The 14,763-nt window shown below is 41.3% G+C and overlaps 1 annotated feature.

Annotated features, from left to right (window-relative positions):
• Positions 3,377 to 3,996: an enhancer, noted in NCBI's record as "OCT4-NANOG hESC enhancer chr17:69824267-69824886 (GRCh37/hg19 assembly coordinates)". NCBI's record gives its function as "activates a minimal SCP1, AML or CMV promoter by ChIP-STARR-seq in naive and primed H9 embryonic stem cells {active_cell/tissue: H9 hESC(naive and primed)}" and the evidence as "EXISTENCE:reporter gene assay evidence [ECO:0000049][PMID:30033119]".

The following is a 14,763-nucleotide window of genomic DNA, read 5'->3' on the forward strand; positions in this document are numbered from 1 at the left end:
TTCCATGCAACATTTGATGGAGTCTAGGAGACAGCGTTCCCAAATAGGGCCCCTTGGCATTTCAGAAAAGAGCAGACACAGGAATGTCACTCTTATCTTCCCCTAACCCCTTCCCTGAAGCAAGCCATAAAACGTAGCAGACTTCTTCTAAAGTAAGTCATGAGACCTTCATTTCAGAAGCATCCTCCCTGTACTCAGGAAAAGAACATCCTTATTCACAAAGACACAGAGACACTAAGAAGAATCTGAACAAACAGGCTTTGCTGCAGTTCCCCTCAGTTGAATACCAGTAGGTCACACCCCCTTTTGTCCTTCCATCATCTCTCCAGGAGTATCCACTTCTTCATGAAGCAGCGTAAAAATACACAGGTTTCCCTGTTTCTCTCTTTGAGACAAATTGTGCTTTCCCTCATTTCTGAAGGCTCCCATATCACATAAGACTCCTATTAAATCAATGTGTATACATTTTTTCTTTCTTCTTAATTGGTCTCTATAGGGATCTCAACCATAAAGCTAGCCAGGAGTGAGAAAAGTAGTCTTTCCTCCCCTACACATTTCACTTTTTAAAATTCTGCTGACCAAAAAGCACAGTTCAAAGCCATTATCCTAGCTGTGTCAGCATGTCTGCTTCTGACAATTGAGCTATCTTTTCATTCAATGTTGCCTGGTAGTTAAATCACATTAGGATGCTATTTTAAGTATGTTGAATTCTATTTTAGTTGGTGCGTGTGTGTTTTTAAACTGTACCTCTGATCGACTTGACTTTACTCCAATATATTTCATATCCAATGTTGAATTGTTGCAGAGAAATACTAAACTGCAAAATGTCAATAGCAGAGGAACTAATTTAAGAAAGAAAGTATTAAGGTAAACTGGGGTAGCAGCCCAAGCTCTGGGCTGAGAATCAAAAGACCCTGTTTCTCTTTTTGCCTCTGCCACAGAATAACTAAGCAAGGTTATGAAATGAAGGACTTGGACTATTTCCCTAAATTCCACTGCAGCCCTAAAATTCTGTGATCAAATTTGGGATATAAACATCATTCCTTTTTGATTGGATAATCAGGAAACCATCAGCATCACAGGGTGAACGTTCTGGAAAGAATAAAGATATGCTCTGTGAATTCTTTTGTCTGTCTCTGCTTCTGTTCATGAATGCAGTGAAGAATAAAATGAAGTCAATTAGCGTTCTAGAAATTCCAGACGATGAGAAAAAAACAGGAGAGAGTAGAGAAGGAAACTAGAGCTTACAGATCACCTATGTGATGTCCTGTCCACTCTCAGAGGATACTTTCTCATCTTTTATCCCATTTAGTCCTTACAACAATCCCCCGCCCCCCACCGCAAGGTAAATGACACGATGCCCAATTTAGAGATAAGAAATTTTGGAATCTCAATAATGCCTGCTCAGGGAATTGCAGTTCATAAGAGACTGGGCTATAATCAGAAGACAGGCTGTGTGATTTCAAATCCTATGGCTTGATAAAACATGCTAATTTTTTTATTAAATGTGACAGGTGGGTAAGTCTCTGTCATTCGAAATATGGATATAAATTCCACATGTTTGAATGCCTGGTACAATTGTTAAAGTATTAAGCTCAGAAAAAAACTTTCGATTTGGGTTATGATTTTTGGTGAGGGGAATCACATACTTTACTCAAGCTACAGGAATATCAAGTTTCATTAGGTCAGGGTTAATGACTAAGATACTGTATTAATTCATTTTCACACTGCTATAAAGGACTTCCCTGAGACTGGGTAATTTATAAAGGAAAGAGGTTTAATTGACTCACGGTTCCGCATGCCTGGGGAGGCCTCAGGAAACTTATAATCATGGCGGAAGGCGAAGCAGGCACCTTCTTCACAAGGTTGCAGGAGGGAGACGAATGAAGGAGGAACTTCCAAATACTTATAAAGCCATCAGATCTTGTGAGAACTCACTCACTATCACGAGAACAGCATGGGGAAAACGCCCCCTGATCCAATCACCTCCCTCTCTCCACAGGTGGGGATTACAGGGCCCTCTCTCAACACGTGGGAATTACAATTCGAAATGAGATTTGGGTGGGAACACAAAGCCAAACCATATCAGATACCTAGCTGAACGCAGGACTTCTAAGGTCTTGGTCTAATTGCATATCATTTAAAAATATATAGTGATTCATTGTACTGAAAACTATTTTATGCTGAATCATTTATTAAATGCTTCGTTATTTTACTTAAAAAGAAGGCCTGAACTGGGAATATACTAGGATTTCCCTTATTCGACCATAACCATGGGAAGTCTTGCAGGCTGAATGGGAACGTGGGATCACGCACTGGACAGCAGCATATCCTACAGTGTCCAGAATAGGCAAAGGGGAACAATTACCTTCTTGACACTGGCCTTGCAGACCAATTCCTCTAGAATGATGGTAAATGGTAAAAACACACCATGATCTCTATTTCCTAAAAATTGCACCTGATTGTTAAAATCGTGCTCATAAGAATTCATTTCCAGAAAAATAAAATCTCTCATTTCCAGCCCTCAAAATCTCTCTGTCATTTTACTTGAGAGTCAAATTAGTGGAAGTGGGGTGGAGGGGGGGAATTAAATCAACTCCAACTTTCCTTCCTTCCTGGTAGCATCTCAAGTGCTGCTCAAAGCCTGGCTGACTCTTCCCATAGTTGCCCACCTGCTTAATCCAGCAACACTCTTCCTGGGCTCCCAGGGAGAATGGGGAGGCCTCTTCTGATCCCCACTGTCTGTCTTCGCAGTCACCAGCATCCAGAACTCAGAGATTGTAAGCCCCACCAGCTGCAGCATCTTTAAAACTTCTGTATTCAATTTTTTCTGATACACCATTAAGAACACCCTTTTTTTCTACGGTAATTAGAGGGAACAGAGCTCAACTGTAAGAAATCAAGCCAATGGCTATGATTTTAGGGAGGAGCAAAGGTGAAGTGTCACAGAGTAAAAAGACGTGACCATTATTGATTTCCTACCCAACCTCTTGGTGAAGAGGTTGCAAAGAAAGTAACAAAAAAGAGATCAAGCCCCAAGTCCCTAAATATATATGTATAAATTATATATTAGAAAAATGTATATACATGTAAGCATGCATATACAGATATGCATGTATGTATTAATATATATTGTTTAAAATCAGGGTCTTTTCTTTTTCCCAGTATTGATTCCCCAGTATTGATCAGGGTCTTTTCTTTTCTCCAGTATGAAAATGAAATACAGTGCTGAGAATAAACTGGAGATCTCTGCCAGAGTTATAAAATGCAAGAAAGACCCTTAGTGGGAGATGTATGAGGGTGGATCCCAGGAGCAGGGCCGGGAAATAATAGACACTGAGGTTTGTTTCTCTCTGCAAAACAGGACTTCAGTGATACAGCGATATAATACTCTAAGATATTTTATTTTCAAAACAAGACATAACCCAACTCCAGCTCCCTAAGGAGAGCCCTACTTCCCAGCGCTGGGTCTGCATCAGGAGCCCTGGCATTTCCTCTTTAGCAGGGAGTGCAGCCAGCAAAACAATCAAGCTGTGATTGGGAGCTGAGCGCAGTGGTTAATTAAGGCTGCATCTTTTATTCTCCAGGGCAATTCAGCACAGCTTGAATGAGCCCCAGAGCCAGTCTGCGGTGGGAATGTCTCCCCGGGCAGTGGGAGAATCCAGTCTCAGGGGCTGTCTCATCAGCATGACAATAGCCCCAGGATGCACTTGGACTGATGTAATGGCCAGAGTTAGGGAGGGGGGATGAAAGCCTTGTTGCAGAAGCCTGGAGCGTTTGCAGCTGACTGGGGCTATTTCAGTGCATGAAATTCCTTCCCTCTTTCTTCCTTTTATAAGAGATGTTTGCTAATTGGTAGAGCTCAGAAAACAATATACCATTAAGAATCCCTTTCCTTCCTCCCACCCCCCACTCTCATTTTTTAAAAGTCTCTGCTTTCTTGCTTCACTGGAAGTCTCAACTTTTGTTCTGTGGTTTGCATGAAGTCTTAATTTTTCATTCTCTTTAAGAGGGAACTTATAAACAACGATTTACTAAAAGAGACTCTGCAACCGATTCTTCTGTATCAGGGGTTCCCAAATACAGCCCCCCCCCCACCACCACCACCCCTACTTTGAGAATCTTGGCTGTGGTCCTGCTACAACTCATATATTTGCCTCGTTTGTTACACATTGATACAAAACATTTTGGAAAAGTGACTCACGGAAAGTTAGTCTGATTTTGTATTTTGTATTTTCTATTTTTTTTAATTACAAGATCCTGTTTGAATTAATTGAATCCTTTAAGCTGACAAGCTAATGGTCAAAATGAAGACAGTATAAGGAAATGTCAGTTGAGAATCTGGGATAAATGTTGTTTGACCCTGCCACAAATTCAGTAGGCGACCAGGGTAAGACTTTGTCCTCTCCTCTCCTGTTTGGGTCTCAGTTTGCTCATCTGTCCAAAGAGATAAGGGAGCTCAATGATTCCTAAAGTCCTTCTTGTGCTATCACTTTATAGCTCATTGAGTGGAGCCATACTTTCTTAATTGATAGAAGCTGTAAGCTCTGATATAACAGAAAATGTGTTGTGTGTTCATTCTCTAAAAGCACAAGATGTCCATAGTCCTTCTACAGTTTTGAAAATTAATGCTCTTAATGATTCTGGAAGATTTTTTTTAGTGAAGTAGGCTGTTATCTGGAACCACAAAAGATATGCACGGATTCTGATGCATCTCATCTCAGAAATCACCTGAGCAATGCACAGCTGATTAATAGAAATAAGAACATTACTTTAGGAGAATGTTCTTCACGTTCCCAAGCATGAAGAACTCCTTTTCCTACTCTACCTTATTCCTTCTCTTCTTTCCACTTGGACAGAACCACTGGAGAGACTTTAGAGGATCTTTTAAGGGTTTCACACGAGCAGGTGGAAGAGGCTCTGGACACATCTCTGCTCACATTCTAACAAGTCACTTTCCACTCATAGTCTTTCCTTTGTATACTTTGCTGTGAATCCTGCCACATTGGGAGCATCCTTAGCTCAACCTTACTTCTAAATTCCATTAAATACTTGTCACAGTACAATAGGTGTTACTGCCACTAGTACCTCACCCAGACACAGCATTTCCTAAAAGCAAATACTTTTGTAAGTGGTTTAGAAGTAAGAGTTTATTCTCAAAATCACAATCAGCATACACACCAGCTTCCTTCTTACCACTTCCGTCAGATTAGGTGAGTTGATCATAATTGAAAATATGATACCATCTTTCCCCCAGTATCCAGGTCTTTCATGAGGCTAACAAGAATCTTTGTCTAAAAATTGGAAGGTTGAATAAAACATGCGTTGGGGGATTTGTGAAGACAGAGAGTGTCCATATTGTGGTTCTCTTCTTTGGGCTGTTGAAATAAACACTTCGACATCTCTCAAGGTGTTCCTGTAAAATTTTTGATAATTGTCTGCAGAACTGACAATTCAATTCATGAAGACGAATTCTTCCTCTTGTTATTTTCTGAGATTTAACAGAAGAAAAACAAAATAATAGAACTCTCAGAAGCTATAAAATCTACATACAGCCCCTTACTTAAAATATAACACCTCAACCACAAAGAGCCAGGACACTGTCATTAAATAATTTCAGTTCTGGGGTTATTTCAGGTGAGCCAGGTGCTTGATCTTGCTGTTCCTGTCTTCTCCCAAAGCAGTGGAATTTCAGCAGATTCCCATTCTCCCCTCAGCAAAGATCCCGGTCACAGTAGCCAGATGAAAAGCCTCTTTGAACTTGGTAGGGGTCCATTTTATTATCATTATTATAAAACTTTAGAAAAGAATTCAGCTTGCTTGATACTTTTCTCAGGGCCAAGTCTGAGGTTGAGTAAAGGGATAAAGACCAGCATCTTTTTAAAGGTGCCAGACTGGTCATCTGACTTTTTTTCTTGGCAAGGACACACACACACAGGCACACATACACATATGCATGTACACACACACCTGCATGTACATGATGCACACATACACACATATATGCACAAACATACACATGCATTTATGCACACACGCACTCTCTCTCTCACACACACACATCCAAACAGCCACAGTTATCTTCTCAAAAGAGAAAGAGAATGTCCCTGTAGTTTAGACTGTTCGCAGCGGGGAATACAGTCTGGTAAAATGAAGACTGCACACCCCCTCCCCCTGAGGCAGCCAAAGAAATCTTTGTGCAGCCCAGGTGTTGGCTGCGTCCTCTTCACTAACATCCTGTCTTGAATTATTCAGACTCATTCATTATGTATCCCACATAGACACAATTAAATCGTTAACTTTCCCATCAAGAGAACAGCAAAGGGACAGTAGCACTCCGCTCCTCCTTCCTCCCCGGGCTGAGAGCCGCCTGGTGGAGCTGCTGCAAAGGGGAATGGTTTGCAAAGAGGCAGTGGGCTGGGGGCACTCTCTGCTCTGACAGCTGGAACCCTACTGCCCAGCCAAGCTATTCAGCCACATAAGCACCTCTCCTGGATGTTTCCAAGGTGGGTGGGGGTGCTAAAGAAGTACGGAGCAATTCAAATTTAGTTTAGGGGTCTTCGTAAAGTCTCTGAGGCATTTCAAAGCTGCAGACGCTCATCTGTCTAGGTCAGATGACCTTTTGATCTTACTTAAATTCTGCGGACATTTTATTTTACGATGAGTTTGTGTTTAGATTCACAGGAATCTGTGGACCAAGACTCCAAATCTCTGCCAAAAAGACTCCAGGGAGATAAGCAAATTCTCAGCCTTGTATCTTCTTGAGACCCAACGATGAGATTGAGCCAAAGGACATTCAACTAAAAAAAAAAAAAAAAAAAAAAAAAAAAAAAAAAAAAAAAGGCTGCTATTGTACTATTTCTTCCAACAGGTCTTAGTAAAAAGTGGCTTAAACAGAAAGGACCATTGCAAAAGAGCTCAGGGCATTAAATGATAAAATTATACCAAAGTTAGGTTGGGGGTGGGAGTGGGAAAGAGAGAGTTTCCATCACTTTCGTAGGTCTCCTTGCCCTGCTTCTCTGCCAGCAAGTACCTAGAACTTTGTGCTAGAGCTTTAACTGGCTCCCCATACCAACTAAGTCAGTCATGTGTCATTGTCCACTCCTGCTGAGAACTGGCCAGATGCAATTTGGTCATTATTCTTAGGTTCTTTGAGGTGGATAATGGTAGCCACCAAGAAGCTCAAGGTGGGAGAGGTCTAATTATTTACTCCACAGACTCATTACCAGTTATAATTAAACCAAGTGTCAGATCAAATCTGTCTCACAGAGAGATATTAATATAAACATTTATTAGCAAGTGGGCACAAAGAAAGCTTACAGAAACTGTTCTGGGAGCTCAAGGAAGCTTCCGTGCCCTGTCTTTGGAGGGGATCTGGCCACCACCTTCTATGAAACTTTACCCAAGGTTGACATAATAATAGCCAGGCTAGAACTCAGTCTTCCTTATAGGTGGTCCCCAGTAACCAGAAATTCTCTAAACTACTGGTTCTCAACTGGGCAATTTTGCCCCCCAGAGGACATTTGACAATGTCTGGAGACACGTTTGATTGACAAAACCCAGAAAGAGACGAATGAGGGTGCTATTGTAACTGGTGAGTAGAGAGCAAAGATGTTACTAAGCATCTTAACAAATGGCCCCAAATGTCAATGGTGCCAAGGTTTGGAAACCCTGCTCAAAGCAGATGACTGGACATAAGGCCTTTCAGATATTCATCTTAGGTTCTCAGTGCCCATATGAAGGTCTGAGCTGGCTTCTAACAGCCTCTACCCACAGGGGTAGCCAGGTCTTTAAAATGTTTTAACCCATTCACCTCTCTCAAGTGCTCTAAGTCTAAATCAACATCCCTTCTTAATATCCCTCATGCTGATTAACAAGCTACTAATTTACAAACTGGTAACTAGCAAAAGTCTGATGTTGAGCACAGATTTCTATGACAGACATGCTTACAACATACACTTGTGGAATTTCTTTTTTCTGACATATTGCCAGCCAACCATCCCTTGGGTGTGGACCTCTGATTAAAATGATAATGTGGCCAGGTGCAGTGGCTCACTCCTGTAATCCCAATCCCTTTGGAGACCAAGGCGAACAAATCCCTTGAGGTCAGGAGTTTGAGATCAGCCTGGCCAACATGGTGAAACCCTGTCTCTACAAAAAATACAAAAGTTAACCGGGCGTGGTGGCGCATGCCTGTAATCCCAGGAGGGTGAGGCAGGAGAACGTCTTGAATCCGGGAGGTGGAGGTTGCAGTGAGCCGAGATCATGCCACTACACTCCAGCCTGGGTGACAGAGCGAGACTCTGTCTCAAAAAAAAAAAAAAAAAAAAAAAAAGCCAGTGTGGTAGCGTGCACCTGTAGTCACAGCTACTTGGGAAGATGGCTTGAGCCCAAGGGGGAAGTTGCAGTGAGACAAGATCGTGTCACTGTACTCCAGGCCAGGCGGTCGGTCACGCCTGTAATCTCAGCACTTTAGGAGGCCAAGGTGGGTGGATTACCTGAGGTCAGGAGTTTGAGACCAGCCTGGCCAACGTGGTGAAACCCCGTTTCTACTAAAGAAATACAAAAATTAGCCGGGCGTGGTGGCGGGTGCCTGTAATCTCAGCTATTTGGGAGGCTGAGGCAGGAGAATTGCTGGAACCTGGGAGGCGGAGGTCGCAGTGAGCCAAGATCACACCATTGCACTCCAGTCTGGTCAACAAGAGCGCCTCAAAAAAAAAAAAAAAAAAGAATATAACTTGGGATTGACCTTTTGTTTATAGTCCAATGACCTTAAAGTCTTTTCCATGAAAATTATGTGCCACTATTAATTGCTGGAATGAATTATTCACTGACAAATGAAACCTTTAAAGCAAAAGCCTCATTTTACACAATAATTTCAGCAACTTTTCCCTTCAAACTTTAACAAAAACTTCTAAGTGGCTAATTACAGAGTTTATGCCCCCTGACTCTTTTTTTTAAAAAACTCTTTATCTTTAATGTAGATGCCAACAAACGATGGCATTCTCAGCAAAAAGACATAGGAAGGATATGTGTATAAGCTCTCAAAAAGGCACAAGCTTCATTATATCAGCATCTGTATGAAGAAAAAGGGGAGACAATGTGCTTTAGTTTTATTACCAGGATAGAGAAATGGAAGATCCATAGTCTTTGAAGGTGTGTACATGGTAGGAACTCAATGAAAATAAATGCAAACTCCCCAAAGGGCAGAGGCAGAATCAAAAGCAGGCATGGGATGAGCAGAGAAATGCAGGGAGAGGCATTTGGGGAAACAGGAACAGAATCTAGGACACCCTTGCAAACATTGCTGAGCTCTAACATCTGCCGTGGACTGCCTAAATGCGTGAGGATGAGGCAGACCCTTCAAGGTAGCTAGCGGATGAATAAACGACCTTGATATCAGTCACTTACCTGAGTTCATTTTTAATTGTTTGCTTTCATTCCTTGCCTCTGGTGACTACGATAATAAAAAAAGAAATATTCATTGCGAAGAGAGATGATAAATTGATTGATAGAAAAATAATTTTTGCAATTGAGCCTTAACAAGAGTTAAAATAGGTTGAAAGGCATCAAACCAGGACCTCAGAGAACTAGAAGGATGCAGCTGAAATAAACAAGGGACTGTGCTGGAGCCAGCTGCAGCATTGCACTGAGTTCCGTTACACCATGACACAGAGTCAATGGGCAGATGTAAATTAGCTTGGAGTGGCATTACCCTGCTGTGGTCTTAAATGCCTACTTTAGTGCCAGAAAGCCTGGTTCAAATCCTAGCTCTGCCACTCTACCAGCTTTGTAATATTTGACACAAGAATTTATACTCTATGAGGTTAGGGGGCAGTACATGTTTGTTTACAAAGGTATCTCAAGTGCTGAGAGAACAGTACCTGGCAGATCACAGGTATGCAATGAAGAAATCTGTTAAATGGATAGTGGAATATGTTACCTCTATGCTTCAGTTTCTGTATCTATACAGTGAGTTATTTAGAGGATAACCATGTGAATGGATCAGTACATGAAAAGCTCTAAGAACAGTGCCCAAAATATGCACCAAAAAGACAGTCAACTTCCATTACTATCGGTGCAATGCATAAGAGGAAGAAAGTTGGAGAAACGTCTGTATCTCTCTTCTTAGGGGGGTGGTCTCATCAAAAGTGATCAATTCACAGGCATGTCTAGAGAAATAGTTTCCCCAGAAAGCGCAGCCAAAATAAGGAATTCTTAGATTTCAAGCACTTGCTAGAGACATGAGAATTTACTTGCAAGAACCAGACAGATACAAATCATGAGACAGATTTGGAGGAAGGCTGCCTAAACATCTAAGCTGAAATGACTGTGGCTGTCTTCCTGGCCAAGGCTGGGGCCCTAGAGAACCTGAGTGATTTAAAATATTGTCTTGACTTCATGTTCTTGACAAATTATTTTTCAAAGGGAAAATTTCAGTATGCATAGAAACATCCAAAATGAGCCCAGGACACCTGTTAGTTATGAGTGTAGGCACTTAAAGTAACTGGCATGGATTCTCCCTTTTGGTCCACATTCTGGTCGGGCAAAATCAAACATTTACCTTTCACTTTTGCATGACATATCACCCTACATACACCTCTCAACACAAGTCCATTAGCCGTAAATGGTCCCAAATGTGGGCCTTTCTGAGGTGGTAACAGTAGCACCATGAAAACAGTGATAGATTCTGCAAATATCTGTTACTCTATCCGCAGCCTCCACTCCCTGCTTGCTCCCTCCCCATTTCCTACCATCTTGAATAACTTAGCTTCTTTCATTTGCTAGTATATTAAAACTGAATGATCACAGCTTATCAAACAAAGAGAAAATATGCTTGTTAAATAATAACAAATAGGGAAAAAAGACATTATTAAAGAGGTGCCAATTGTGATTTATTTTATAACTCTCCCTTTCCAAAATAATGCTCATAATGATCAGAATGTAAATATAAAACCACAAGAAAAAATGACCAGATACTAGTGACATCCAGCATGTGCTTTACACTTGTAGAATACTTCAATTAGAATAGACTCTAAAATACAAAATAGTTCAACCACCTCTCACCCATGTATTCATTGCTTCATGTGTTCATCAAATGTGTATTGAGTACCTACTATGAGCCAAGCATGTACCATATTCCAGGAACATCAAGCTAAGCACAACACAAACGTGACCTAAAGGAATGTACTATCTAGAGCAGACATTGGCAAATGTCTTTGCTAAAGGGCCAGAGAGTAACCATTTTTGGCTTTGCAGACCCAAGATCTCTGTCACATCAGCTCACTTCTGCCATTACAGTGCAAAAGCAGCCATAGACAATATGCAAAACACACAAGCAACAGACTTGGCTATGTTCCCATAAAACTTCGTGTATAGATACTAAAATTTGAATTTCATATAATTTTCACGTTTAAAAATGCCATCCTTCATTTGATTTTTGTTCCACTATTTTAAAATGTAAAAATCATTTTTAATGCACAAGCTACACAAAAAGAAGTAATAAGTCTGTTTGGCCTGTAGGCAGTGTCGACATCTGGGCTAGAGGCAGGAATATATAAGAAATCACAACTTGCTAATTGATTATCTGAATAAGATACAAAGGGGTTGTGAATAGATGTCACCATTTCCTTATAAATTCTACTGACAATGAAATAATAGAAGATGAACCTTCACTTAGCCCACTATGCTTCCTAAAATCATGGCTACACGATCTCAGGTACAGGTAGAGAGCCCTGCTGCTGTTTCCACTCCCTACCCTGATCTTTAAATGAGGTCCTTGTACACAAGCCCATGAGTCTTAGGTCGCCCAGGTGGTTATGGACACTTGACTCAGGACAAAGAAGCCTTGAAGAGTCTGGAGAGTATCTGACATCATAATGAATTGCAAATATAAAGAATATAATATGAATGAAAAAAGTAACTGGGCTAAACCTCTAGGTGTCTTAGAATTTGAATCTTGACCAAGGAATCAAAATCATTAGGGCAAGATGGCATGATTGATAGGCTCTAAGATAGTATGCTGTGTATTCTAGGAGGACTATAAAGAAGTCGAATACCTAACTCAAGAAGGGGTGGGTGCAGGGATTTGGTAATAGTGGGTAAGGTTTGAGGTAAGTCCCAATAGGAGACATTTGAGGTACGTTTGGATATAAGTAGAAACTGGCCTTAGTATTTTTGGCAGTGACAATAGCCTGATGATTTGGGGTGACCACAGATAACTCAACCTGTCTTTAGGGAAGCACATGTGATGGGAAGGTAGAGGAAGAGAGATTCAGAGGCAAGAGTATAAAGGTCTTGCATGACAGGACAAGGGATCTGGACCAGAGGAGACACCCAAGAAAATTTTAAACAGGAAAATAGGATGATCAGATTTGTGTGTTAAGATGGTTAACTGTGGCCACAAGACAGAGAATGGAATCACATGCAAATCAGAAACATGACAAATTGCCTGAGGTCACAGAATTAATTATTGTATTAATCAGTTTTCACGCTGCTGATAAAGACATACCTGAGACTGGGTAATTTATAAAGAAAAAGAGTTTAATGAACTCCCATTTCCACATGTCCTTGGAGGCCTCACAATCATGGAAGAAGGCAAAAGGCACATCTTACATGTTGGCAGGCAAGAGACAATGAGAACCAAGTGAAAGGGGTTTCCATCAGATCTCATGAGACTTATTCGCTACCACAAGAACAGTATGGAGAAAACTGCCCCCACGATTCAATTATCTCCCACAAGTTCCCTCCCAAAACACATGGGAATTACGGCAGCTACAATTCAAGAAGAGATTTGGGTGGGGACACAGCCAAACCATATCAATTACAGAAAAACAACTATAAACAAACAGGCCAAACAGATTGGAAAAAGGACTCTGATACCTTTTCCAGCATGTTCCCCTTGACAAATTTTGTTCTCTGATCTCCAGTACCTGGTCATAACAGAAGACCTTCAAGGAGAAGAGGATAGTGCTGACTCACTCTCTCAAACACCCACTCTTGATAATTTCTCTAAATGGGCAAATACATTTGCTAAGAGCCACCCTTCTTTTATCCTCCTCATAGCATTTGATTGACGACAAAGTGACTTGGGAACAAAATAAAGAAGCAATCTGCCTACAGATCATACCTAGTCCCAATGCCTTATAAACACCAGCAAAAGTTACTAAGAAAAATTAGAGAACTGTTAAAAAAAAGAATTTTAACATTAGTCAACATTTTATCATTATTTATTCCCTTCATGAAATGTGCTTCTTTGCTTACCACCTGAATTGAGAATAGAGGGTATCAAAACCTTGTTTCTACTAAAAATACAGAAATTAGCTGGGCATGGTGGCACATAACTGTAGTCCCAGCTACATGGGAGGCTGAGACACAAGAATCGTTTGAACCTGGGAGGTGGAAGTTGCAGTGAGCTGAGATCGCACCACTGCACTCCAGCCTGGCGAGAGAGCAAGACTCTGTTTCAAAAAAAGAAAAAGAAAAAGAAAAAAGAATTTAGAATACATCTACCATTTCTCCATTCTTGACACATTTTATCTCACATAATCTTTAAAATATTGGTAAGGTGGGTGATTTGATTCATTCCTCTCCATTCCCTTCATTTCACCAAGTCAGACTGGCTTGACAGGTATTGGGGAGAGAGAAATGGTAGCTAGACAGAAGCACTCTATCACAATAGCAGGGGAGTCAGGAAGTGCCTATGGAAACAGAAACCTTAAAGTCTGCAGGAAAGGAAGGACGAATCTAAACCTCCAGGTTTTCATCATTAGCCCCCATCCTCTCCATGTAAACACAACAAAAGAAAAAAATGAGACACAAAGCACAGGTTAGAAAACTGTTATATTTGTATTGATCTGTGACATAACATCTAAGTAAGAACAGTACCATCACTAGCTTTAAGAAAATTTCCCTAGTTGCTCCACCTCTACTAGGTCAGTGCCTGTGAACTTCTTGGAAATCAACACCAGGCTTTTGATAAGAAGCCAAGGTAAGAATCAGAAAGGTGACATGAGTCCCAAGAAGGTCTCAATCCTGCCAGTCAGGAGAGAAGGGGTTACGAAAGTTAGCATATCCTTGACTTGAGCCCTCTGTAGCCTACTCATGGAACTTTGTGCATGGCTGGGCTGCCCTGGCTTGAAGAAAACAGAAACAGCACAGAAAATAGATCTTTTTATTCCCGTTATACAGAATGCTCAGAGCCACATGGCTACTAAGTGGCAGAATTAACATTCCACTCAGATCTACTTGGCTCCACATTCCACACTGTCTTCAGTTTGCCACACTGCATCCAGCTCAACCAAGGTAAAGTATGGTGACTAATTGTCTAAAAGACAGAATTGGAAAGAGCACATCGTTTCCTGGGCAAGATACTGAAGACTCTTATTGTTATTATTTTTCATGTATGTAATTGAGCTATAAAGGAACATTCCACCAGCTAGCCCAAGAAGTCACCGTGGTACGTCAGCCATTTTTTCCATCTTCCTTCATCTCTCTCAGTTCAGAGAAGTGGAAGTTCTCCCAGGGAGGCTTGATCTGCCTGGTCAGCATGGCCAGGATGCCCCCCAGGGAGGAGCTAGCATGCCCAAAGATCACACTACTTTCTCCCCCTTCACTCACCCTGTGGGTCCTCCAATCCCTTTGTCAGACTTGATGCAGCCTGAGGGTTTCAAATGAGGTATAGGAGGAAGGAAGGTACATTATTTAGAAAATGGGTGGTAGGCTGGGCACAGTGGCTCACACCTGTAATCCCAGTGCTTTGGA

The sequence above is a fragment of the Homo sapiens genome, chromosome 17 (genome assembly GCF_000001405.40).
Source record: "Homo sapiens chromosome 17, GRCh38.p14 Primary Assembly".
Taxonomy (NCBI): Eukaryota; Metazoa; Chordata; class Mammalia; order Primates; family Hominidae; genus Homo; species Homo sapiens.